The sequence below is a fragment of the Homo sapiens genome, chromosome 4 (genome assembly GCF_000001405.40).
Source record: "Homo sapiens chromosome 4, GRCh38.p14 Primary Assembly".
Taxonomy (NCBI): domain Eukaryota; kingdom Metazoa; phylum Chordata; class Mammalia; order Primates; family Hominidae; genus Homo; species Homo sapiens.
In genome coordinates, this window is record NC_000004.12 from 153585953 (window position 1) to 153613540 (window position 27588).

A 27588-nucleotide genomic window follows, 5' to 3' on the forward strand; every position below is an offset into this window, starting at 1 on the left:
ATAAAATAGTAGGTTTTTTGCAAAATATCACTTACTGAAATTTCAAGATTACTTTTGTGAAATTTAAAACAGTGTCATCTTAAGCATTATTTGTAACCTATCATTTCTATAAAAATATTCCAACTTTTGATCTGGAAATAACTGAGTAAAATCATACTTTCTGAAGTATAGAAGAATGTTAGCATCATACTTTATAATGATTTTAATCATAATTAGTGTTAGGAAAAGTAATTTCTCTTGCTTCTTTTCTTTTTAGATTCTGAATTTCACTGGCCCTTTATTTCTACCTCCAGGCTGTTGGAATATATTTTCTTTGAAACTTGCTGTTAAAGACATTGCCATAAATCTATTCACCAATGTATTTTTGACTACAAACATAGGTGCCATTTTTGCAATACCTCTACAGATTTATTCAGCACCAACCAAGGTATTTTCTACAATACTATATGTGTGTTACAGTTTTCTTAATTACTGTTGCTTTTTATTAACCTTTAGTGCTTGAGTTTTATTAACTGGGTTAAGCTCACGTTCTTTAAGGCTAAGAAACTGAAGGATATTACCAGGCCAGTCTTGGATGATAAATTGTTCAGACATAAAAATCTTTATTTGGAAAGAGTTTTCTTTTTTATAAAGTAATTTGAAGTTCTTGAATGAAATAAGGCATGACCAATAGATTAATAGATGTCATTTTCATTTATTTCCAAAATTTGTAGAGCAACCAGTATGTGTTTGCTATAGAAAACACAGGTTGGCTTTTAGTACATACTTGCAATGACTTAATAAATTAAATTGTTAAATGCTTTATTTGGATCTCTTCTAAGTGACTCTTAGTTGCTCGTAATCCTTGAATTTGCTTAGTGGGCCAAGTATAAAGCCTGAAAAGATTCACAGTTAAGAAAATGCTTTCTAAAATCTGGGTAAATTATATTTAATTTAGACCGTCTTAAATATGTCTCTTTCTTTAATATTTATTTCTTTTCATTTGGTTATTATTTTTGCTTCTTTTTGCTCCAAGCTATTTTGTATAACTCTGGGTTCTGGTTTTTCTATGCAACATTCATGCAACCATCTTTATTTTTTTTCTCACTTATAGTGTGGATCTTTCATAGTTAGAAATGCCTCATGCTTAACTAGCTGTAAGCGTACAGATAGGAATTCTAAAATTAAACAATGTAAGGTTAATTCCATTTATCCATATTTTGAGCAGGGGTGGTTTCTTAGAAATTTTTTTTCTATTCAAGAGATGCATGTCAGCAGAGTGTGGGAGGAGCAGGCAGGTTTCAGGTATACCTGTAGGAAATGGGAAATTAAATGTCCTGAATAGCTAGGAGTTGTTATAGATTGGCATACTGTTTCCCAGAGGATTAGAGTTCAATTAAAAAAAAACAAAACTTCTGACCACTGAGAATGTCCTGAGACTAATCTAATCTTTTTTTTTTAATTTTTAATTTTTTTTACAGTTAGGGTCTCACTCTGTTGCCCAGGCTTCAGTGCAGCCATGTGATCATAATCTTTATTTAATTCAGATGGCAGTTTGGTGTCTTGTGGGCCCAAGGGTCATTATTGTCATTGATTATTGTGCCTGCAGAAGCCACTCAGTGACCCTCCTAGGGAGAGACAGTTCAGATTTCTCTGAAAATTCCTTAACAATTAGAAAGTAATTTTTGGCTCGTGGTTAAAGGGAAGTTCACTGAGGTGCAGACCAATGTCTGCTTTGAATTTTAGTGCATTAGAATTTTTATGTTTAGTGCTGTGTTTTAAGTTATTCATATATTACTTTTCAATCTAGGAAGGGAGTCTGGGTTTTGAAGTGATAGCACATTGTGGCATGCATTATTTCATGGGAAAATCAAAAGCAGGTAAGTATTTTGCCCTTAGGCTTTCTGTAGATCTCTAGTTTGGGGGATGGGAAATAGTGAGGAAAATTAGCATTTGTCAATGGAATAATTAGTTCTGTAAAGGCATCATATTCTATAGAGAGGATGATCATTAACAGAATGACTTAAAATTGTTAAGAACCCTCCAGAAACACCTGGGGTACTGTAAATAATGCCCCTTTATTATCTAGTAGCTTGTACTTCCGCAAGGGTTTTTTTTTTTTTTTTTCAAATAACATTGTTCGATCATCACAGCACCCATAGGAAAAATTGGAAGATTCTGATTCTTTTATGAAAGAACTGACTAGAAGTTAGTAAAAATAACTTGGAATTGTATTTGAGGACTTAAGTTATAGGAGTGTAAACATCTTGCAGATGGTGCTAGTTGTGATTTGAGACTGAAGGGCCTTAGTGTTGATGTACAAGCTGTTTCTTGTTTTGAGTTTTTTTTTTTGTTTTTTTTGTCTTTTGATTTATAGAGATATTTAGGGAGAGTTTTAAAGTATAGTTTTTTTTTTTTTTTTTAAAGATTCCCACCTCTCCTTCCTGATACCCTCCTTAGCAAGACAGAACAAATCTGTTGGTAGAATGAGGTGAACAATAGACCAGTTATAAACATGCATCTTCTCTAGGATCGGCTCCTGGTCTGTGCCCCCTTTCAAGAACTACTGTTTTCCCTCGGCACTCTAGATAGTGACCTGGAAGACTCGTTGATGATTAGCATGTGTGTGGAAGGAGTTTCGCATTTTAGATTTAAAGCTGTTAAAAATGTTCCAAGTATAATTTTGTTTCAGGCTGTATTCATGAGCCATGTGTCTTTTACGTTATTACCTTTACATAATTCGATTTAGTTTTGTTTTATGACATGTTTGTTTAATTTGATATCATTTGCCATTGAGTTAGAGGGACTTTTAATAAATAAGCAGCAGAGACAGAGGTGGCATTTATTAACTCTACAGTCCTCTCAGTTTAAGAAGTTTAATATTAAGCCCTTGGCATTATTTACTAATTGAATTATGTTTTCTGTAAATCTAAATATGGAATCTGATCTAACTTTTAGGAAATCCTAATTGGAATGGGAGCCTTTCTCTGGATCAATCTACCTGGAATGTGGATTCTGAACTTGCAAATAAATTGTATGAAAGATGGAAGAAATATAAAAATGGTGACGTCTGCAAGTACGTCTCCACTGTCTTCTTTTTTGTTCGGTGGTGGGGAGACACTGTTACAGTAGTCCCTCCTTACCTGCGGGGACACATTCTAAGACCCCCCTCTCACCCCACCGTAGATGCCTGAAACTGTAGCAGACCCTATATACTATGCATGAATTTATTTTTCCTTCATCATAATTTCACAAATAGAAGATTCATTCTTACTGTAAATCTTAGCAGTCTCAGCATACAATTTTTTTCTATTAAGTCGACAACTTTCACCTTTTTGGGTAAAAGGAAGCACTTTATGGCTTCTCTTTGGCATATCTGAATTGTCAGCATCACTCTTCTTGCACTTTAAAGCCATTATTAAGTCAAATAAGGGCTACTTGAACAAAAGCACTGTGACGCCAGGACAGTTGACCTGATGACTGAGATGGCTACTAAGTGACTAGCAGGCAGGTAGGGGATCCATGTGGATATGCTGGGCAGAGGGATGATTTGCATGTCCCAGACAAGATGGAGTGGGGCGGCTTGAACTTTCATCATGCTACTCAGTACTGTGTGTAATATAAAAGTTATGAATTATTTCTGGAATTTTTCACTTAATATTTTCAGACCCCAGTTGACCACAGGTAACTGAAACTTTGGAAAGCAAAACTGCATAAGGGCCAACGACTGCACACAGTATTTTATTGACATTACAGTCCGTAGTTTCTAGTGATCGATACTTCTCTCCAGCTTTTAATTTTGACAAATTTCAAACCTCAGAAGTTGAGGGTAGTGCAGTGAATTCTCAAATATTCCTCATCTAGATTTTGTTCACCAGATGTTCACATTTTATCACTTTTGCTTTATTTCTCTATGTGTACACACACACATAGAAACACATACACGCACAGACTTTTGGCCGAGTCATCAAAAGTGAGCTGTAGATGTCATACTTCAACTCTCAATACTTTATTAGGAAATTCTTTATTTCCTAAAGAGAATATTTTCTTATGTATAACTATACTACCATTGCATACCCAACAAACTTGACATTCATGTAATTATATTGTTTAATATACAGTCTATGTTAAAATTTTCCCTAGTTGATCCAGTAGTGTTCATTATAGCTGCTTTTTTATCTTTTCTTTTAACCCAGAATCCATTTAAAGGCCATGCATTGCATTTGGTTGTCTTGTTTTCTTAGTTTTCTTTAGACTAGTGTTCCTACCTTTCATCATCTTTCATCATGTTGATACTTTTTAAAAGTTCAGGCCAGTTGTTTTATAAAACATTCCACACTCTGGATTTTTCTGATTGTTTCCTCAAGTTCATGTTCTGGTTAAATGTTTCTGGCAAGAATATGAGTTATCTGGTTGAACTTGTGTCTGTATTATTTCATCTCATCAGGAAGTACGTAAATGTCAGTTTGTTCCATTATTGGCATTGCTGAGTTGAGTCGCTTGGTTTAGGTGATGAGTGACAGAACTCTCCATTGTACATACCTTTTTCCTTGTGTAATTAATAAATCTGTGCTGTGATAATTTGATAAATTACGGTATAAACGCCCTGTTCCCTAAGGATGTTTTATCCCATGGTTTTAGTATCTATTGATAATCCTTGCCAGAATCAATTGTTAGACTAATGGCTGCAAAATGATGTTTCTGATTATTTTGTTCATTCTACATTTATTGGCAGATTTTTTTTTTCTAAAAGAGTGTTTCTCTTGCTTTTAAGCATCACTCTGATTCTTTAGTTGCAGTGTTGTACTCTCTTACCATCACTATTATTTTTGATGATAAATTGTTCCAAATTTGGCTGGTAGGAGCCCTTCGGCTGGCTTGTGTGGCCCTTTGACATGTTCTGTTGTTTGAGTGCTTCCTTGCTTTCTAGTAAAACAGGGCCTTCTAGGATCAATCTTGTACTTTCCCATCCCCAGACCTAGAATAAACCATTTCCCCAAGAGCCCTTTTCCTTTAAGTGGGAATAGTATTTAGTGATTTCCCTAAATAACAAAATTATTAAATATTAAATTTTTAAATATCAAAATATTTTTCATAATAGTTTCTTTATCAATTAAACAGGAGGAATGTTTTGGGAACAACTCGATTTGCTCACTTGAAGAAATCCAAGGAGTCAGAGTCCTTTGTTTTCTTTTTGCCTCGTTTGATCGCAGAGCCTGGCCTCATGTTAAACTTCAGCGCAACTGCCCTTAGGAGCAGGATGGTGAGGACAGTGTGTCTTTTCATTTCTTTGTCAGTGACTCCCCAGTGCTTGGGTTTTCAAAGTACCAGATTGTGTCCACCTTTAGCTACCATTTCAAAGCCAAAATTAAGGCGATGTCAAAAGAACTAGATGAGCAGTAAAACTCTAAACAGACTGAAAATGCAGGAAACAAATAGACTTTGAATTGAGTGTACCCTCCATAAATGTGTCAGTTAAGAAAGTACTCAACTGCAAACAGCAGAGAAAATCTTGACTAGCTTAACTAGGAGTCATTTTATAACAAGAAGCTCAAAGGGGAGAAGTCCAGAGCGAGTCAGGTTGTGCTCTCTGTGATGCCATCAGGGACTGAGGCTCCCCTCCCTGTCTACTGTCCATCCTTAGCGTGTTGACTTCGGTGCTTGTCTGTGCCTCTCTCGTCCAGCTCCGGTGGCGGGAAGACTGGGCAAAGGGAAGGACGTGCCTCCAGCAGACTTCCATTTATGTCTCATAAGTCTCATGGCTAAGAACTCTATACCACACGTGACATGAATTATAATGTATGACTTATCAGGTGCTCATAGATTTTCTTAGGGATGACATCCTTAGGCTGTTTTTTAACTTTTTATTTTTAAATGATTTCAACTTAGAGAAAAGTTTCAAGAGTAGTATATCAGGAGCTCCCAAAAAGAAAATCAGGAGCTTGCAAAAAGAAAAGAATCTTTTTGCAAAGATTCATCAATTTTTAATGTTTGCCACACTTGCTTGAACATTCTCTTTCTGCATACATGTATCTTTGTGAGCCATCTGAGTGTCAGACGTTACGCCCTCTTACCTCTAACTTTCAGTGTGAATTATTTAAGAACGAGGGCTTTTTTCTGAACCATAGTATAATGATCAAAATCAGAAAATGCAACAATCATGATGCTGTTATTTAATCTACAGTAAATATATACAGCATATATGTATATATACTACATATATACAGTATATGTAGATCAAGTGTTTTCAGAGATCCCACTGTCATACTTTCCAGCATTTTTTTTTTTCTGGTTCAGAATCCAGTCCAGGATTTCTCATTTCATTGGCAGGTCTTTTTAGTCTCCTTTAATCTTCCCCAGCTGTTCTTTGCCTTTTATGACATAGACATTTTTGAAGCGTGCTGGCCATTTATTTCCTATGATGTTTCTTGATTGGAGTTACATGATATTTCCTCATGATTAGGTTATGCTTTTTGGCCAGAATATCTCAGGAGGGATGCTGTGTCCCTCTCGGGGTTTTAACTTTTCTTTCCTCACACCTAGATCAAGTACTTTGTGGTGCAGAACCCGTCCTCTTGGCCGGTCTCCTTGCAGCTCCTGCCTCTCTCCTTGTACCCTAAACCCGAAGCCCTAGTGCACCTGCTCCACAGATGGTATGAAGACTTTTTTTCTGAGAGGCAGTTTGGGAAGTACTTGGGAAGACTTAGAATTACTTAATGTCCTACACTTTTTCAACCAGGACCTGTGTGTGGATGTGGACACAGTATTAACCGATTAGCTCATGGACCTTGGGCATCCTGCCCCTTGGTGCATGTGATTTGATGGAACTACCTGGCTCTGTGTGTTATGTGGCATCTTCAGTGTTACTATGCGAAGTCCACTAACCAACAGATCCTTTTCTTTAGCTAGGGAACCTTTATCATGTTTTTTTCACATATACTCCTAATATTTAGACTCACAATCATGGTGATTTCTAGGCAGCATAAATAAGTTTAGTGTTTTAGTCCAATTGGCCCTCCATATCTGCAGGGGAATTGGTCGCAGGACCCCCTCGGATACTAAAATCTCAAGGATGTTCAAGTCCTTTAAAACCATTGATGGAAAAATTGGCCCTCCTTATTTGAGGGTTCTCCACCTGCGGTTGGTTGAACCTGCAGGTTTGGAACCTGCAGATGCAGAGGGCTGAATGTATATTCTTGTCTAGCATTAAACAGGAAGAGATGATAATTAGTTCATGTCTGTTATATCTTATTTTCACACAATCACAGTTTTACTTAGAATGTTTCCAGCTTCTCGTTTAGTAAGATCGACCCTTATCCCAGGGTTTCTCAGCTTTCGCAGTATTGGTATTTTGGACCAGATGGTTCTACCATTCTGTTTGGTGGGGGTGGGAGGAGCCATCTTGTGTGTTGAAGGATGTTTAGCAGCATTCCTGGCTTCTCCCACTAGATGCCAGTAGGAACTCCCCAGCTGTGACAACCAAAAATGTCTCCAGACGTAGCCCAGTGTTTCCCGTGGGATAAAATTGCCTTTGGTTGAGAGTCACTTTTTTTTTCAAAAAAGTTGCTTTATATTTAGAGCTTCTGTCACCATATGCTTCCTTACATCCTGTGATGCCAAAGTCATTCATTTAGCAATATTTATTGATCATTGACAATATGGCAGATATGGGTGTGGGAATGTGGGGTGGAGCTGGGTGGGAATGTGGGGTGGAATGTCGGGTGGACAGGATGGGATGAATTTTGTGTGTATGTGTGTGCAAATGTACTCACCTATGTATAAATGTATATATGTGCACACACTTATTAAATCTTTCTTTACTGGCAGATGTGAGTGCTGTTTTAAACATTTGCTTTTTTCCTTATAGGTTTGGCACTGATATGCAGATGATTAATTTCACAACTGGTGAATTCCAGCTCACCGAAGCTTGCCCTTACCTGGTAGGATGTTATCCTAAAACAGAAAAAAGAATGCCGACAAACTAGACACATGAGCATACGGGCCTCATTGATTTATGTTTAAAATGTCTTTTATTTACTATATATGGCTCTTTTATTTTGATTCTCTGGGCATTAACGATACATAGCAGATTTTTCCAGTTAACTAGTGCGGTAGGAGCTGGGTTTATGTTAGCTCTAAATCATTTTAATTTGATTATTTAGAATCATGTGAGTAAAGAAATAACAGTTGAACAGAGCTTTGTAGAAAACCATGAAACTTGAGACCCCAGAATTTATAATTCTCTTAAGATTCCTTGGCCCTCAAATTCTTTTTTAGGGCAAGATAAGGAAAAACAAATACATTAAAAAAAATCTTCTCTTACTAAACTGTGTTCCTGTTTTTAGCAAGTCACCCAATTTCTGTGATGTTTACCTTATCTATAAAAAAGGACTACTCTAAAATTCTTAAGCCTGTGGGCAGTCATGAGGTCTTGCCCAAATACTTAGGAGTAGGAGTAAACATGTCATGTGGTGAAGATGCTATTTGCCTGGGGACTTGGCAGCCTTACTTCTCAGTTTCCACTCAGTCATTCCGTGGCTATTTATATACAGCTGAGTGTTGGCCTTACAGGTATTCTGTGTTTGAGATCAATTCAAAAGTGGAGCATCTGTTGACAAAAAATACATACATACACATGTAAACTCACATATGCGGATAACTCTATTTTTACTACACTATATTTAAGCGCCTTGGGTATTTTCTTCTTTCTTTATCTTTATCCCTCCAAAAATATACTGTTGGCTCTAGATTACTTTCAATAACAGAAGGAGGGAGACCACAGATAACCCATTACCACAGACTCTCCTTTCTTTTCTTAAGTGTTGAGGCAGCACTGGGCGAGTTGGGGGGAGTGGTGAAGCCGTGCACCCAGGTGTGGTTTTATTCTTGTTAGCGAGTCTGCCCCTCTCTCTCCTTCTCATTTTCTCCACCAGGAGGTCTTCAAGGCTATTCAGGATAATTAGTCCAAAATACTAAGTGATATCTTGCCTCACTGGTATTGAATCATGTATAGCTTGAAATTCCAAAAATAATGCCCGTTTATTTTAAATCTAAATATTCTATTTAGATGTGAACAAATGATGTAACTCATTTGGAAGAAGTTTTTATCTATGACTGTTTTTCCCAAGAAATATTATATATTTTGGGATAAGAGAAATTATTACTATTGTTAATTTATTACATTGATGAAAAGAATAGTTAATATCAGTGCCTTGAAAACACTGAGTTAAAATTTAACTCAGAATTGTTATTAGAATTCTTCATCATGTAAAGAAAGGCTTCCTGCATTTTGATTTTGCTGATTTGCTTTTAGAAATATAGTTCCTTGGGTTAAGAACATTGGAGTTTTTTATATACCCTAAAAATGTCAGTGCCTGGCATATAAGAACCATTTAATAGAGGTGCTGTTTTTACTATAAGTTTAACACCAAAAGTCAGCAGCTTTTAAATTCAGTATTCATATTACCTGCGTAAAGCAGGGTTTCTTCCTTCATGGAGTTTATAATTCTAATAAAAATGAATCAAATAATCAAATACTATTACTATTCTCTTTTTCAGATGGCATGGGTAACACTAGCAATAACTGAAACATAAAATTAAAAGTTAAAAACAAAGAGAAATAATATTCTTCAGGATTATATATTAGCTCTAAGAAGTGATACATTGCATTGTTTTTAGTGAGATGGAGCTAGAAAAAGCAGTGGAAAGAGGGAAAGTCCACTTACCAAAAAGATAAAAAGAATTAAACCTTGGATACTAAACTTAGAGCACAAGTTTTATGCCAAAAAAAAAAAAAAACACGACATCTTGGAGAAAATAGAGGAAGATGTGAATAAATAAAGATCTTTCTTCTGACTGGAGATACTAAATATAATAAAGATGATTTCTATATAAACTTAAATTCAGTATAAAGAATTTATATAAAGAGATCTTTGGGTTGTCCAGTGGTGGGTGAGTGGTCTTGTCAGATTGCTCTAGCATTCAAGCAGAGGCTGTTGGGTCTGTTTTCTGATTGATGTTGTACATTCAAAGCATCTTTGTGTAGAAAGCTTCTAGCCCCAACTTCCATTCAAACCAGGAAGCAAATCCCCTCTCCAGCATCTGTGTGAGGTTGTCTTGTAGTCTCTGCCTATATTTCTTAGCTATGGCTCAGAAGCTGTTTATTGGAGTGAACTCTCAGGATAAGCAAGTTCTAACAGGTTGATTAGGAGGATCAAATCTGGACATTAAAAGAGAAGCAATCGTGTTTAAACTCTAGGATGCACTTAATGACAATGGAAGCTTGCTTTCTAGGAGTATGACATGGTTTAATTTGTTAATTTGCAGGGTACGCATTCTGAGGAATCCAGGTTTGGCATCCTCCACTTACATCTGCAGCCTTTGGAAATGAAAAGGGTTGGCGTAGTTTTCACACCTGCTGACTATGGAAAAGTTACCTCACTCATACTAATCCGGTAGGTGTGTTCCTGTTGTAGAATCTGTTTCTTTCTCAATGACTCATCTGTGTAAATCTCTTTAGCTGATAGTTGACGTTCACTTCTCAGTCAGACCTTCAGGATGAAGGCTGTGTTGCGGGGTAGGAAGAAGTGGAAGCTGAGAAAGAGGTCACTGGAGGCTTGACAAGTAATCCCCAAGGCCTCAGTCTCCTCTCTTCTCCAATAGGGAGTGTGCGTGCATGTCTCCAGGAGAGGTAGTGCTTTCCACACAGCTTCTCGTCTGTGCTGTCTCAAAAGGCAGAACACACTCATGCAGATCTACTCCTCTGTCCTTAGCATAGAAAGATCGTTAAAGGACTGCTGTAGATATTTTCAGTCTTTAGTATTTGAACAAACTTATATCACTTTCATCTCTTTTTTGCTCCTGGAATTCTCAGTAGCCCAAAGGACAATAGAAAAGGTGTTTCATTGAGCCCATTGGCTCTTTTTATTCCTTTTCTTCCTTTGAAGTGAGTTACTGCTGACTGATTTAAGCATGCTTAATGTGTTTATTTTTTAATTGTTTTCATCTTTAGGTAGTCTTGAGAGTCTTTTAAAAATTTACAGTAAATACAGATGTATCTTGAAGCTCTCCTCATCAGTGAGAAGTCCAACACAAATTTAATTTTTAATAAATGACATTTGAGTTATTTTTTCAAAACTTGTAGTATCAGATCACCTGGCAAAAAATTTATTATTCAGAATTTTCTTTAATATATAAGTTTGTTCTTTTGCAAATGAATGATACTAAAAAAAGTTAAAGTTCTTCAGAGTTTATTCATTAAGCATTTTAACTAAAAATACTTAATGCCCTGTTGACTTAGTGTTTCTTTTTTTGTTTATTAATTTTTTTCTTTTTTTAATTAATTTTTTTTTTTGATTTAGTGTTTCATTTAAACCGACTCTTCTTTGAAGAACTAAGGTCCTAGGAAGTACAGAGACAAACTTTATTTCATCCCAGGTTGAACTATCTCAGGCTTGAAAAGAAAGTCTAAATTTTTTGTAGAAATTAATTTACTTTCGGTGGTTTCTGTCCTGTAAATAACATCAGTCATCTATTGCCCCAGCACTTAAAGGTTTTTAAATGGTTAATAAAGGCTTTTTAATCCTTTAAAGATGTAAAGCTATTTCAGTGTATTCTATATAATTACAAAAGTAAAATGAATTATCTTGCTGCTTCTATAGTATTTACATTATGAGGAGTGGCTTTCACTCCAATATGCATCATTTAAAAATCATTTCCAGGCCAGGTGTAGTGGCTTATGCCTGGAATCTCAGCACTTTGGGAGGCTGAGGTGGACAGATCACCTGAGCCCAGGAGTTCGAGACCAGCCTGGGCAATGTGGTGAAACCTCGTCCCTACAAAAATACAAAGTATTAGCTGGGCATGGTGATGCTTGCCTGTTGTCCCAGCTACTTGGGAGGCTGAGGTAGGAGGATTGCGTGAGCCTGGGAGGTTGAGGCTGCAGTGAGCCGTGATCATGCCACTGCACCCCAGCCTGAGTGGCAGAGCAACATCCTATCTCCTAGGTAAATAAATAAAAATTTAAAAAAAAATAATTTCCACCTTTTTGTCCTGGAATTTCAACTAATGAAAAGACACATGCTAGTCTGAATTACTATTTGATAAAAACCTGACTAGATACATGTTATTTATGGGGTAATATTTTAAATCTTCACTTCAAAAGAAACAGTAGAATTTTACGTCTAGTATCATCCCTAAGGCAGAATTTCTTACGATTACTATGAAAACACCTTAATTCACCCTGTAAATAAGTTTTATCATTTTGTCTAAATTTGTTAGTGTTTGTCTGTGTCCCCCAGTTTATTTCTTCAGTTTTTTTTTTTCTTGAATGTCTGATCACTACCCTGGTTTCTAGTTATTAGAAAAATATATGAGGCTACATGTGTGGGCTGTGGTTGGAAGGGGGTCATCATTGTTTACATGTTCTTGCTGCAGTCAGCTCACTTTGGTACTTGGCAGTGGCAGCTTTTCTTGCCTGTGGCTGCACCCTTATTCTGTGAGATGGAAGAAGATACCACACTATTTAAATTGATTTTCTTTTTTAAAACTTCAAAAAAGTTTAAAAATATTCTTGATAACTGGGAATATTTAAATTTAAGTACATTGTACCTTGTGACTCCATGTAATGCCTTTTTATATCTATTTCCTTTCACTACAGGAATAACTTGACTGTTATTGACATGATTGGCGTGGAAGGATTTGGAGCAAGAGAGTTATTAAAAGTGGGTGGAAGACTTCCTGGTGCAGGAGGCTCACTCCGATTTAAGGTGCCCGAGTCCACGCTGATGGACTGCCGTAGACGTGAGTTCATATGTGTGGCACTCTGACAGGGGAGGTTGGCATTAAAGCTGAGAGTGAAAGGATTCTATAAATTCTAAATTTTAAATTCTAAAATTTTAAATTTTTAAATTCTAAAAATTTATAGTAAATTCATTGTATTGATGCAAATAATTAGGCAAACATTTGTGCATATATAGGCTGGTACCCCTGGATTAGAGTGGTATCTTTAGATATTTAACTCAACTTAGATAATAGACATAAGTTAGATAGTGGTGCAGGCCTTTATTAGTCTGTTCTCATATTGCTGTAAAGAAATTCCTGAAACTGGGTAATTTATGAACAAGAGTTTTAATTGGCTCATGGCTCTGCAGGTTGTGTAGGAAGCATGATGCTGGCATCCGCTCAGCTTCTGAGGAAGCCTCAGGAAACTTACAATTATGACAGATGATGAAGGGAAAGCAGGCACATCTTACATAGCTAAAGCAGGAGCACGAGAGGGGAGAAGGTGTCACACACTTTTAAACAACCAGATCTCACGACAACTCACTATCACAGTGACAGCATTGCGGGAGTCGGGGGAGGGTGCTAAACCATGAGAGACCACCGCCATGATCCATTGACCTCCCATCAGGTCCCACCTCCAACATTGGGGATTAGAATTGAACATGAGATTTTGGTGAGGACGCAGATCCAAACCATATCAGCACCTGTAGTCCCAGCTACTCAAGAGGCTAGGGTGGGAGAATCACTTGAGCTTAGGAGTTTTAGGCCAACCTGAGCAACACAGCAAGACCCCTTCTCTAAAACAAACAAAAAAGATACAGAGGGAAAAAAGATTGTGTAATTGCTAAATTATCAGAGTACTGTTAAATATTTAAAATAAATACATGAAGCAGTTAATTTGGCTGTCAGTTACTTAACCACAGAAAATCACTGAAATGATGACTGGAGAAAACATCAAAAGTGTGCTAACCAATAGCACTTTTTGTGATGATGAAAATATTCTGTATCTGTGTCCTCCAAGACAGCCACTAGCCACATGTGGTTAAGAAGTCTTTTAAAATGGCCGAGCATGGTGGCTTATGCCTGTAATCCCAGCACTATGGGAGGTTGAGGCAGGTGGATCACCTGAGGTCAGGAGTTCGAGACCAGCCTGGCCAGCATGGTGAAACCCCTTCTCTACTAAAAATACAAAAATTAGTCAGGCATGGTGTCACTTGGGAGGCTGAGAGAGGAGAATCTCTTGAACCCAGGAGGCGGAGGTTGCAGTGAGCCAAGATCGTGCCGGTGTACTCCAGCCTGGACGACAAGAGTGAAGACTTCGTCTCAAAAAAGGAAAAAGAAAAAAATAAATCTTTAAAAATAACTAGTTGCTGGGTGTGGTGGCTCACGCCTATAATCCCAGCACTTTGGGAGTCCAAGGTGGAAAGATTTCTTGAGCTCAGGAATTTGAGACCAGCCTGGGCAACAAAGCAAGACCTCATCTCTGCTAAGAATAAGAGAAAATTAGCTAGGCATGGTGGCAGATGCCTGTAGTCCCAGTTAGTCAGGAGGCAGAGGTGGGAGGATTGATTGAGCCCAGGAGAGCTGGTCTGCAGTGAGCTACGATCATGCCACTGCACTCCAGCGTGGGTGACAGAGTGAGACCCTGTCTCAGAAAAAAAAAAAAAAACATCAAAAATAAAAATAACTGGTGTGACTGATGAAATTGATTTGAAATTTAGTTTAAATAGCTGCATGTGTCTAATGGCTACTGTAACAGACAGTGCAGATTTAGAAATACATTAACATGTTGCACTGGAAAATTTTAAAATTATGCATGTATTTAAACGAAATGCCTTTAAACTACTTATGTTAGTTTCAGCAACTTCCTCAGGAACTGAAACAGAAATAAACAATGTAAAATGCTTTTAGTGAATTCTTATTTTCCTATTACTATTTTTAATTTTATAAAAACACAGAAAGCATTTTAGTGTAACTATGTTTTCTACAGAGAAACCTGGCTGGTGAAACCATTGGATAATTTGCAGGACTATTTTAATGGCTGAGCAGATTTTTGTTTGTTTGTTTTAGAAAACTATACTAAATGGGCACTGAGTTTGAAAAGATTTATTAGAGGCCAGGCATGGTGGCTTATGCCTATAATCCCAGCACTTTGGGAGCATGAGGCAGACGGATCACTTGTGACCAGAAGTTTGAGGCCAGCCTGGCCAACGTGGTGAAGCCCTGTCTCTACTAAAAATACAAAATTAGCTGGGCGTGGTGGCACATGCCTGTAATCCCAGCTACTTGGGAGGCTGAGGCAAGAGAATTGCTTGAAACTGGAAGGTAGAGTTTGCAGTGAGCTGAGATTGTATCACTGCACTCCAGCCTGGGTGACAGAACAAGACTGTCTCAAAAAAAAAAAAAAAAGATTTGTTAGTAATTTTACATTCCGAATTCTTCTTTACAATATTTATTATTCCATTTATTCATTCAGTTATTTAGAATTGACTTTGAATGATAGAATTAAGAAGTAATATAAAAACTATAGAACCAGACCTGTCGCCATAGCTCATGCCTGTAATCCCAGCACTTTAGGTTTCTGAGGTTGGAGGATTGCTTGAGCCCAGGAGTTCAAGGCCAGCCTGGGCAACATAGTGAGCCCCATCTCTACAAAAAATTAATTACCTGGCTGTGGTGGAGTGTGCCTGTAGTCCTAGCTACTTGGGAGGCTAAGGTCAGAGGATTGTTGGAGTCCAGGAGTTCAAGGCTGCAGTGAGCTATGATCTCACCACTATACTCCAGCCTGGGCAACAGAGTGAGACCCTGTGTCTAAAACAAACAAACACCTGTAGAACCAGATAAAATATTAGTCCTTATGTGGGATAGATTGTGTGTTATAAATTCACAAGGATATTTAAAAATTGTCATAATCTTTCTTTTTTCAAACTCAGTATAAAATGTGTTCTCATAATAGTATAGCACATGTTTGAACTGTGTTTCTAGCAGCTGTGATGGATTTATACAGAAGCACTTATACATCCTCTTAACTGGTGCCTGGTTCAATGTGAGTGAGAATTACAGGGCATGGGGCATATGGTGGCTTATAGTAAGTAAATCAAACTATTTGACTTTTGAGAAGAACCAACTTTTAACCTTAACCTTTAACAAGTAAAGGGACCAAAGAAGAGATTTTAGTTACTTTTTGTATCTTGGTAGAGCATTTCATGTAAGAAAAGTCTTGCCTACTTAAGTATCTCTGTTATATCCTAGAACAGAATCTATAATTGTTCTAGAAATTAGGTAGAAATCATTCTTTGAGCTTATGTTGGATTTTTTTCGCATTTTAGTAATGTAGATCATGGTTTGGTTTATTCAATAAATATCGATCCAATAAATTATTTTAAATAAATTTTATAGTTCACATATACTAAATATCTTTTTTTGGTTCCCATTAGAACTGAAAGACAGTAAGCAAATTTTATCTATTACAAAGAACTTTAAAGTTGAGAATATTGGACCTCTTCCTATAACTGTTTCGTCTCTGAAAATTAATGGGTATAACTGCCAAGGTTATGGATTCGAGGTGCTGGATTGTCATCAGTTTTCCCTGGACCCAAACACATCCCGCGATATCAGCATTGTGTAAGCATTGGGCTTTAACTTGATTTCAGTTTTGTGGTGCGTTTAACAATGTGAGGAGGAAAACTTTTTCTATTGTTAAGACATCTTATGTTGTTTTAATGTAAATATTTCTTTTGTAGGAGTATGATGTGTTGTCATTATTTTGCCTTGTGGCTAAAATCAAAACAATTAAAAGTTCATAAAGATGACTCTTTTATTTTCAGGTTCACTCCAGACTTTACCTCCTCCTGGGTAATTCGGGACCTAAGTCTTGTAACCGCAGCGGACCTAGAATTTCGCTTCACTCTCAATGTGACTCTCCCTCATCACCTGTTGCCCTTGTGTGCAGACGTGGTTCCAGGACCCAGCTGGGAGGAGTCATTTTGGAGGCTCACGGTCTTCTTTGTCAGGTAAACCACTACTGTCTCCCTTGTTCTCTCACTGAGTAGAGAAGTCATCCAGGCAAGTTGTGTGAAAACGTGAACTGCCCGAGTGTAGTCAAAGTATATGAATTGAGTGGAATTGTTACTGCTTCAAGAACTGTGACATCCATGAAGTATTCACTGGTACACTTTAAGGTTATAGTAAACTAATCGTAAGAGAGTCATAGGACCTAGAAGTATCATAGACAGTTGTGCTCCATATATAGTGTGTTCATAGGCAGTCATGGTGGATGATATGAATGTTAATTACTTGTGTTAGCTCATGCAGTGATGATTTGAGATTAGGAGGCTGGAATGACCCTTTTTGAGTGATTTCATAAAAATGGAATTGTAATGTCAAATTTATAAATATGCACAATTTTGGAAACTTTTGTGTGTGTGTTTAAGGAACATCAGAAATTATGTGATAAATCTTAGGGAATTTTAATACTGCATCTTCAGATGTTTTTCGTAAATCATTCCCCACTCTTCTGTAATGAAACTAGTCTTTTGAATGCCAGTCAGAACCATGCAATACTGAACCTTGTTGCTTTCTTCCTCAGTTTGTCCCTGTTGGGTGTGATTTTAATAGCCTTCCAACAAGCACAGTACATTCTCATGGAATTCATGAAAACAAGACAGAGGCAAAATGCTAGCTCCTCTTCACAGCAAAACAATGGTCCTATGGATGTAATCAGCCCCCATTCTTACAAGTAAGAATTCTTATAGTGTGGTTGGGAGCGGGGGCGGTTTCTCACTTTTGATATTACTCATTTCTGATTTAATTTTAAGTAAACATAAATTTTGATTCTACATTTGCTTTCATAAAATTTTAAGTCATTATGTGAACAGCTGCCCCATTATTATTATGAGATAGTCTCCATGCAAGGACTTAGTTGATGGGTATTCTCATTGGCAGAAAACTCTTGGAGCTTTGGAAGAAGGGAAGGTAAAACTTACACTCAGTACTGATTGCTACCCTTTTCTCATGGATATGGAAGCAGACAAGTAGAGTTTGATTTGATTTGCCTCTATGCTAAATGTTTTTCTTCTTAAATTCAGAAGCAATTGCAAGAACTTTCTCGATACATATGGCCCCTCTGATAAAGGCAGGGGGAAGAACTGCCTTCCAGTGAACACTCCCCAAAGCAGGATCCAGAATGCTGCAAAGAGGAGCCCAGCCACCTATGGTCATTCTCAGAAGAAGCACAAATGCTCAGTGTATTACAGTAAACACAAAACCAGCACAGCTGCGGCCAGCAGCACCAGCACGACTACTGAGGAAAAACAGACTTCACCCCTGGGCAGCTCACTGCCTGCTGCTAAAGAGGACATTTGCACTGATGCCATGCGTGAGAACTGGATCAGCCTCAGATATGCAAGTGGCATAAATGTCAACCTGCAGAAGAATTTAACCCTTCCCAAAAACTTACTGAATAAAGAAGAAAACACACTGAAAAACACAATTGTTTTCAGTAATCCTTCTTCAGAATGTAGTATGAAGGAGGGAATACAGACATGTATGTTTCCTAAGGAAACTGACATTAAAACTTCAGAGAACACAGCCGAGTTCAAGGAACGGGAGCTCTGTCCACTGAAGACCTCCAAGAAACTACCTGAAAACCATTTACCAAGAAACTCACCTCAGTACCACCAGCCAGACTTGCCAGAAATTTCCAGGAAAAATAATGGTAATCTTTTCATCCCCTTTGATAATTCTCTCCTGTTTGTACCCAGTCTGTTTTTAATGGAATTGTTCTCACCTGTGACCGTTAGTTTTAATTGTGGATGCTGAGTTTTAGCAAAGGTTTAAATATTGAAAAAAGACAAAATGAAAAGTTCAAGACAAGACATCAAGCTTTTAAAATGTTGTGACTAAGAGGTTTAAATTTTAGTACATAAGTTTAGAAGACTATGAATATCATATTTTCTTGTTGGGATGGACATGGACACCTTTTTCTAATTTTATTTATTTATTTATTTGAGATGGAGTCTTGCTCTGTCGTCCAGGCTAGAGTGCAGTGGTGTGATCTTGGCTCACTGTGACCTCCGCCTCCTGGGTTCAAGTGATTCTCTTGCCTCAGTCTCTCGAGTAGCTGGGATTACAGGTGTGTGCCACCACACCTGGCTAATTTTTGTAATTTTAGTAGAGACGAAGTTTCACCATGTTGGCCAGGCTGGGCTCAGACTCCGACCTCAAGTGATCCACCCCTTTGGCCTCCAGAAGTGCTGGGATTATAGGCGTGAGCCACCGAACCTGGCCTAAATTATTTTTTTTAGCTCAGATTTTCAGACTATCTGTAAAAATTAATCAGCCCATGAAATGTTTCTGACTGAACAAAACTTCAGCTATTTTATTTAACAGCTGCCACCATCTCAGGTTGCCTGGCCCTGGTTCTTCTCTAATTGTATTCCTTGGTTAAAAGAAGACAGATGTTCTCATGTACCAAAAACAGTTAAGGAAAATACAAGCCAAAGTAGACTAGGAGGATGACCTCCATTGGGAATTGTCATTATCCTTTAATAGATCCCTTTGGCCTCTAGCATAAGGGCCTGTGCTTATTTATTTTCTTTTTTTGTCCACCCTGACCATTTGAATATACGTATTTCTGTACCTGTTATAGTCAGATTTGTTTTATTTTGTTTGAAATAAGGTCTGGCTCTATCACCCAGGTTGGACTGCAGTGGCGCAATCTTGGCTCACTGCAACCTCCACCTCCGGGGCTCAAGCCATTTTCCCATCCCAGCCTCCTGAGTAGCTGGGACTACGGGCACATGCCATCATGCCCAACTAATTTTTGTACTGTTTTGTAGAGATGGGGTTTCACCATGTTAGCCAGGCTGAGCTCGAGCAATCTGCCTGCCTTGGCCTCCTAAAATGCTGGGATTACAAGCGTGAGCCACTGCTCCCAGCCTATGGTCAGATTTTTGACAATTTTTAATCTGGAAAACTCAGTCACCTTTTGTCTTATTTGAAGCATCTAAATATAACTTCATCTTTTTCACTTCTTGATATTGGAGAAGAGGTACAGAAATATTATGGATTGACTACTTCTGATGAGCTTTTATGCATTTGGTGAAAATCCTCAACTGAATTTTAAATGTTCTGTATAAGGACATTTCTAATTTAAAAGAAAGTTGGAGTCCTCTGAGGGGAATGTGGTCTAGGCAGCTGCACACATGCATTCTTGGTGCATTTAGTCCAACCCGTTTGTACCGTTTCCCCTGGCAGTGGTGCACACGCCTGAAGTGGACTTATGTCTGCAGGGTGGACACTGTGCCCTGTCTCCTCCACCTGGCGTGTGAGTATGCCCCCTGGTAATGCAGTTCACCCAGATCTTCAAATCAAACCATGGCATACCTTGTCTGTGGATGTATTATGATGGGGTGATTGGGTGTCTTATTCTGTTTCTCTCCCAGACACTCTCTGGGGTCTAGAATACAAAACATTTGTGAAAAGGTGAATTATGGAGTGAGTCCTGTTGGACATTTCCCCTGTTACGTGAGTCTTTTAGGCTTGAGCACAGTCTTTGACATAGGATGACTTTGCACACACTTGAAATTAGAGTTGAGGGAATCCTCCCTCCAGAAGTGCTTCTTCTGTGATCGCTTGTGCCCACAAGAGATATGTGCCTGCAAGATGCAATGCCCGTGGCAGTGTGGTAGATGGATGGGAGGGACCTTCTATATCTTAATACTTTAAAGCAGTTGAAATATAAAGGCATGGATGAGAAATGTAGTGTCAGAGTAGGTCAGAGGATTTGAATTCTTCTTCAGGATCCTCCTGTCTAGTACTTGACATTCAATGCCAATAGCTGAGCCAAGATGAGCAGGTAATAACACTTTAATAAGCGTGAGTAAATTTAATATGGGAGTCTGGAAACATAGAGTTTGCCTGTATCATTGTAGATGGTAAACCTGCCCAGAATCTTTCCTTCCTGTACAGATTACTAGTATGCTTATAATGTTTTAAATGGCAACAAATCTTTCACTGCCAGAATTTAAAAATACTGTTTGGCTGGATCAGCAGCATGTTAAGTGGTACCAGAGTGATTGTTGATCAGATCAAGTAAGAGCTGAGGAAAGAACTTTTGCTTTCCACCATGTTCAGACCAGCAAATTCAGAGGTGCTAATTCACAGTCCTCTACGTGTCTGCAGAAGTTATATGTTAGCAGGAGATTCCTCCCAGGGAAGTTTGTACATGGACATGCATTTTGTTCTGACTGTTTTATGTTCACAGCACTGTCCTGGGAAAATATCCGAGATGTTAAAAAGTGAATAAATTGCCTGCTATCCATGTACAATTTAAAATTGTTCAAGAATTTTAAATATTAAAAATAAGAAAGGACTGAAAAATCTAGGGAAAGATAATTATAGTCTGAAGGGAGGGTTTGGAGTTTTTTTAGTAATATTAAGGGTTTGGGGCTCTGTTGAATTTCAGAGGAAAGCATTGCAATAACTTGGCAAATGATAAACGCGTATAATTGACAGGTAAGTCACAAGTGCAAAGAATGCTTGAGAATGAGAAAAGCATATATATAAGAACCTTTAAGTTTTTACTTCCAGCTTTGAGCATTAGTTCTTTGCTAGCTTTGAAAAGTATTTTACTTTGTGAAATGTGTGCTGTTTCCATTGTAAGATCTTTTCTAGAATCTGAAGAAAACAGCTTGGTCTTTGAGCTGGACTCAACCTGCCTGATAGCTGAGAATCCTAAGTGCCAGTCACGTTGTCTCCTGTGTGACTGGCAGTTAGGATTCCAGCAGAATGGGAACTCACTCAGTGTGTTTGCCACATTTTAGCCATTTCTCCCAAAGTATACAAATGGTCTGTAGAAACCATTCTAGTCATAAGATTGCCTTTAAAGGGAAAAAGGGAAAGGTGGGGACAGTCCCGCCTCTTAAGAATACCTTAAGTGATTTTCCTAACTATCAGAACTCCTGGAGGCACCTGAATAATCTGCCTTCTCCTATTCTGAGGCTTCCCCCCACCCCCGGGTGTAGCTTATTGTGTGAGAAGAAAATGTTCTAGGGTATGTATGAATGGCTTTGACTACATACTTGCCATCAAGAAACATAATATTTTGTAAGTAATAGAAAATGTGTCATATTTGGGAGGCCGTGATGGGCAGATCACTTGAGCCCAGGAGTTCCAGGCCAGCCTGGGCAACCTGGTGAAACTCCATCTCTACCCAAAGAAGTATATGTATATGTATAGTAGCCAAATGTAGCCAGGCATGGTGGTACATGAGCATGGGCCTGTGGTCCCAGCTACTTGGGAGGCTGAGGTGGGAGAATCACTTGAACCCAGGAGGTCAAGGCTGCAGTGAGCTGTGATTGTGCCACCGCACTCCAGCCTGGGCAATGAGTGAGACCCTGTCTCAAAAATAAAAGCAAAAACAAAAAATGAAAAAAAAAATGTGTCCCTTTTCTACTCCATTTCCCCTGCCTGCTTCGGAGAGGCCTGTAGTAAATAATTAATTAAAATTCTCAATAGAAATAAAGTCTGCTGACATTCTTTAGGGCTCTGTTTTTCTACACTTGTTTTTTGGCATCAACTTGTCAAACAACTATCAAACAGTTAAACTTGTCAAACATTCGTTATACGTTCCAGAACCTCTTGGTCATCTGACAAGAGTGGGGCTTTATGTGTAATGTAAATGATCTTGTGAATATAGCTCTTTTTAAATGTTTGTAACCATTTTCACTGTCTGATCAAAATAATGTAGATTAGAGTTATGGCTAAAGACAAGCTATGGTTGGCCGCAGCACTACCAAGGAGAAATAGTGAGCAAATTATTTCACGGGTTTCTACCTGTAATAATGTAAAGGTATAATTAAATTTGATAATAGCTCAAGCCTTGAGCTTAACAGTACCTGAAAGTTTTCACTGAATTACATTCCTCACCTTTCTGAAATTATTGGTATTTGCAGAAATTCCAAAAATGTTCCTATTTACTTACAGATACTATTAACTTGAAATGAAGATTTAATGGTTTATTCAAAACAGACCACGTGATTGTGATTAGATTTGAGACAGTACAACTTTAAGCAGGTTACTGAGGAGATCACTTGTGTCTTGTTCTTCCATTTGTTTCTGTTTTTTAACCACTTTTAAAAGGAATTACTGACCTATAAAGCTGTACATACTTAATGTATGCATCTTGATGAGTTTGGGAATAAGTGTACATCGTGAAACCATTACCACCGTGAAGGGCATTAACATGTGCACCTCCCAACGTCTTCTCCTGCCCCCTTTATTATTATTAGTGTTCTTTCCATTTGTTTTTGATTTTTAACTGTGGTACACTCTTACTCAGTGAGGTCATGGGGAAGTTGCACACTTAATAGGATGACTTGGTGTATTAGGCTGTTTTTCACTGCCATAAAGAAATACCAGAGACTGGATAATTTATAAAGAGGTTTAATTGGCTCACAGTTCTGTGGGCTGTACAGGCTTCTGCTTCTGGGGAGACCTTAGGAAACACAGTTATGGTGGAGGGGTAAAGGGGAAGCAAGCACGTCTTGCATGGTGGGAGCAGGAGGAAGAGAGAGTGAAGGGGGAAGTGCTACACACTTTTAAACAACTAAATCTCGTGAGAACTCTCTCACTATCATGAGAACAGCCAGGGAGAAGTCAGCCCCCATGATCCAGTCACCTCCCACCAGGCCCCTCCTCCAACATTGAGGATTACAATTTGACATGAGATTTGGGTGGGGACACAGAACCAAACCATATTGCATGGATTGACCCCATTTGTAAATGACGTATGTGTTTGGTATCCCATATTCTTGAATGCTTTCATGTTAGAATTTCTCAGAGTCACTGCAGAACTTGTTGTTAACATTCATTTTATTGTTTGTCCTGATTCTTGGCCCCATAGAAGGCATTACTGATTTTCTAAAAGTCTGCACATTATTACTTTTTGGGGATGGTTTTGTACTGGCTATTAAATTTGGATCCTTCCTAAGAAACTTTGATGACTAATACTTTTAGTACTATATTCTTGGCCTGAAGAAAACTTAAGGAAATCCATTTTCTCACAAATTAGGACACCAGGAGAGTAATGGCACCTATTTTTTTGAGGCAAATATCTGTATTGTATTTCATACTTATGGCTTCCAGAATCCAAAGGGATATTCTTCTTATGCTTTCTTTTTCTGGTACGGACCCTGTCTGCCTTGCTTTTGGCTGTCTGCTTTACTGTTTCATAGTGCTTGATGTTTTCCTTTGTGGATATCTAACCGCCAGTTTGTGTTTTAGAAGGAATTAAATTTCAAAGGTGATCTGTCCTAAAGAATGACTTTTAATTTTGACAAGGTAGGAAATGGAGGGTAATGATGATTCCACAGGGCTGCTGTTAGATGCTCTTGGTTCGGAAATGCACAGGTTTGAAAGGGATCTGAAAGTTGTGTCCCAGCAGTCCTCTAAATGAAGTTGATCTAAACCCTCTAGGCAAATAGTTGACTGTCCTATAGAGACAGAAATTCCCGGGAAATAGCATTAGTAGCCTTTGATTCAGATCTTCACTAATTCTAAGTTATTCCCGGTTATTAAAGGAAGCAGTTGATAGTGATCAGCTTTGTCTCTGGATATGACTTTGGCCATTGTATTTCCATCACAGCCAAAAGCATTAAAAACATGCCATGATGCTTTATTTTATTTATGTAATGAGTCTGGCCAAAGGATTATTTTCTGTATTCATTTTGTGACATTTGGAGAATATAACCTTAATTTTGGGATAGAGCCCCTTTTTCTGAAAGTATAAGACCTAATATGTCCTGGTTGTACTTAAACCGTAAAAGCCTGCATTACTTTACAAGGTGTGTGCCATTTGCTTGCCTGGCATTTTTATGGTTACATAATATTTATATAATTTTCTGTTAACCAAATAAAAGTATGTTTACCTGGTAAGTGTTATTTGAAAACTTTATGTATCTTGCTTTGAGTGAGTTTAATTTGTAGCCTCAGAATTTCAGAATCAGAGGGGACTTGACTGCTCCTTTCCTTCTGTGGGTGAGAGACCTGCCCTGCCTCAAGTCCCACAGAAGGGCTGGATTGGAGCCTCTGCTGGTAATCTGGTTAGATGTCCATCCTACCAGAGCCTGCAGTCTGCTTTGCTGGGAAATATTTGCTCTGCCCTATGGTCATCTAGACGTCTCAAATTTCAAAGGTATTGTTAGGGATTCTTAGTTCAAGAAAAAAGAAGAAGGTACTGAAATACATCGTTTCAAATTAGAAAACAGGCCAGTTATTGTGGGGTTGAAGTTCATTTGCCTTTATTGTGGGATAAGAGATAGAAGAAGTATACTTATGAAATCACTTAAAAGAAAAATGGAAGAAAACATATTTTCAGAAAAGGTTCCTCCCAGCACCCACTTTTGCCATCTGATTAATCAGCTGTTGGCTCCTCTGCCGATTGGCTGCTCCACAGGGGCAGGGCGGGCATTCACTGTAGCAGGGAGGACCTTCCATGAAACAGTCATGTGTCCTTTGGTGGGGATGCTTTACGTTTGTATCTGTTCTGTTTTCATCTTTACAACTGTCAAACAAGAGAGGCAAGGAAGCTGGGGTTGTGTTCATTTTATAAATAAGAAAACTAAGGCACAGGCAGCTTAAGAGACTTAACTTTGACTGTAAAACTAATTAGTGGCTGTCGTGACCAGAATCCAAGTCTTTATCCTTCTCTGCCTCTTTGCCAGCTTAAAAACATGTATATATAAAATATACATCACAGAAAACTTATTTTAACCATTTTAAATTATCAAATGCAGTGGCATTAAGTATATTCACATAGTTGTGCAGCCATCACCACTGTCCATATCCTTTTCCATTTCCAGAAGTTTTAATAATCTCAGACAGTAAATCTGCACCCATTACATAATAAATACCCATTATCTCCTTTCCCCAGCCCCTGTTAACCACCAGTCTACTTTCTGTCTCTATGAATTCGATTACTCTAGCTCCCTCATGGGTGGAATCATAAAACATTTGTCCTTTCATATCTGGCTAAGTTCACTTAGCATGATGTCTTCAAGGTTCATCCATGTTGTAGCATGTGCCAGACTTTCATTCCTTTTTTGAAAAAACCATCTTGACCATCTTAACCGTACAGTTCAGTAGTTTTAAGTATTTCACATTGTTGTGCAATGAGTCATGCTGAATGGTATTCTGTTGTATGTATATACCATATTTTGTTTATCCATTTATCCGTCAATGGACACTTGGCATTTTCCCACCTTCTGGTTATTATGAATAATGATGCTGTGAATATTGGTGTCCCCCCCCACCTTTTTCCCTTGACCTCTTTTAAAGACTTTTTGTAGAACTCTTAATATAAGTATACTTTCATCTATGAACAAAATAAATTTCTAGAGCATCATGGATGTTAAAAACAATGCTAAATTTAATTTAACTCTCATGAAGTCAAATTAGATGTTTGGTGTAGGAAAGAAGATGGGGAATGTGAGTGGAAACTATTAGCTAGAAATTGAATTGTTTTTGTTTATTAAAGGGAATAACCAGCAAGTACCTGTCAAGAATGAAGTAGATCATTGTGAAAATTTGAAGAAGGTGGACACAAAGCCTTCTTCAGAAAAGAAGATTCACAAAACATCTAGAGAAGACATGTTTTCTGAGAAACAGGACATACCTTTCGTAGAGGTCTGTATTTTTTTTCTTGCCTATTAAAAACAAAATCCATTTTTAGGACTGTGTATTAAGTGAATATGTGTATTTCATATGTTTCACTGCATTTGAATCCATATTAATAACTGGTGAGTTTGATGTGTGTGTGTTCAGAGAATTTTATTTACCTTCTAATTATATAGACGTTACTACAGTAATTTTTAGAGAAACCAGATAGCTTTTACTCTGAAGAGAATCTGTTCTTAAGCAAATGGGTCATTCCTAGGTAATGATGGCAGAGTAGAACTTGACTAACATATTCCTTCTATCTAGTTATTACTGAACATCTATATTTTAGGGCATACTCTTGCTGAGTTGTATTGCTTTTTGTCTGTCTTTGTCCTCATATCTATTATCGTCTTCTGTCTAAAAGATGAGAAAAGGATTCATGATATAATAGAAGAAAATTTTCCTGATATGAGGGAAGAACTAACTTTGCAGATCAAAAGGGGACAATGTGTACAACAGGAAAAATTGATACATCATAATGGGAATAGGCACTTAGTTAAATTAATTGAACTTCAAATATAAAGAGTTGTGCATAGACAGAAAAATCAAGAAGTACAAACTTAAGCTTGCCTCAGACTTTTCAATAGGAACATCTAACACCAGGAAACAGTGGAGCAGTATCATTGAGAGAATGGAAATGTAAACAAAGAATATTGCATCCAGCCAAGTTAATACTCAAGTACAAAGGCAACAGGCAGACATCCTTAAATACAAATGAAATCATAAGCTGTTCTTGTAAAATCAAGTTAACGAAATTTATCCAAGCAAGATAGAAGTTCAAATAAACACGCAGATGGAAGAAGGCATAATAAAGGTCTCTTGTTGAGGTTTCAATCCATTTTATATCCAGAATGAAGACTAAAAATTTGGCAATTATAACCACAGAACAGATTGGAAAATTGAAATTTTAACCAAGTAAAAATAGTAATATAATCTGCAAAAACCAGGAGGTGGGATTGAGAGGTAGGTGAAAATAAATTTTAATTTTAATCTTTCTCAGTAGAGAGCCAGTTCTATGAAAACATGAAACGTGTAGTTTAAAAGGGTGATAACTTAAGAAAACATTTTTACAGTCTTTTTCTTAACCTTAGAGAGATCCTTAGGGAA

The 27588-nt window shown here is 37.7% G+C and overlaps 1 protein-coding gene across 42 annotated transcripts in view; it reads left to right on the forward strand.

Annotated features, from left to right (window-relative positions):
- TMEM131L (transmembrane 131 like) overlaps nt 1-27588 on the forward strand; it is a 170352-nt gene that overhangs the window by 119593 nt on the left and 23171 nt on the right. For 28 of the 42 annotated variants that reach the window (XM_047449899.1, XM_011531780.2, XM_047449901.1 and 25 more), the window contains 13 exons: nt 257-427; nt 1790-1859; nt 2938-3055; nt 5101-5242; nt 6523-6632; nt 7847-7919; nt 10306-10433; nt 12638-12780; nt 16200-16386; nt 16590-16775; nt 17351-17500; nt 17850-18478; nt 26300-26448. In XM_047449899.1, coding sequence (XP_047305855.1) covers nt 257-427; nt 1790-1859; nt 2938-3055; nt 5101-5242; nt 6523-6632; nt 7847-7919; nt 10306-10433; nt 12638-12780; nt 16200-16386; nt 16590-16775; nt 17351-17500; nt 17850-18478; nt 26300-26448 — 2256 coding nt within the window. Of the gene's footprint in view, nt 1-256; nt 428-1789; nt 1860-2937; nt 3056-5100; nt 5243-6522; nt 6633-7846; nt 7920-10305; nt 10434-12637; nt 12781-16199; nt 16387-16589; nt 16776-17350; nt 17501-17849; nt 18479-26299; nt 26449-27588 lie in introns of those variants that run through there. The other 14 variants (XM_047449917.1, XM_011531783.2, XM_047449920.1 and 11 more) reach the window with 2 other exon arrangements.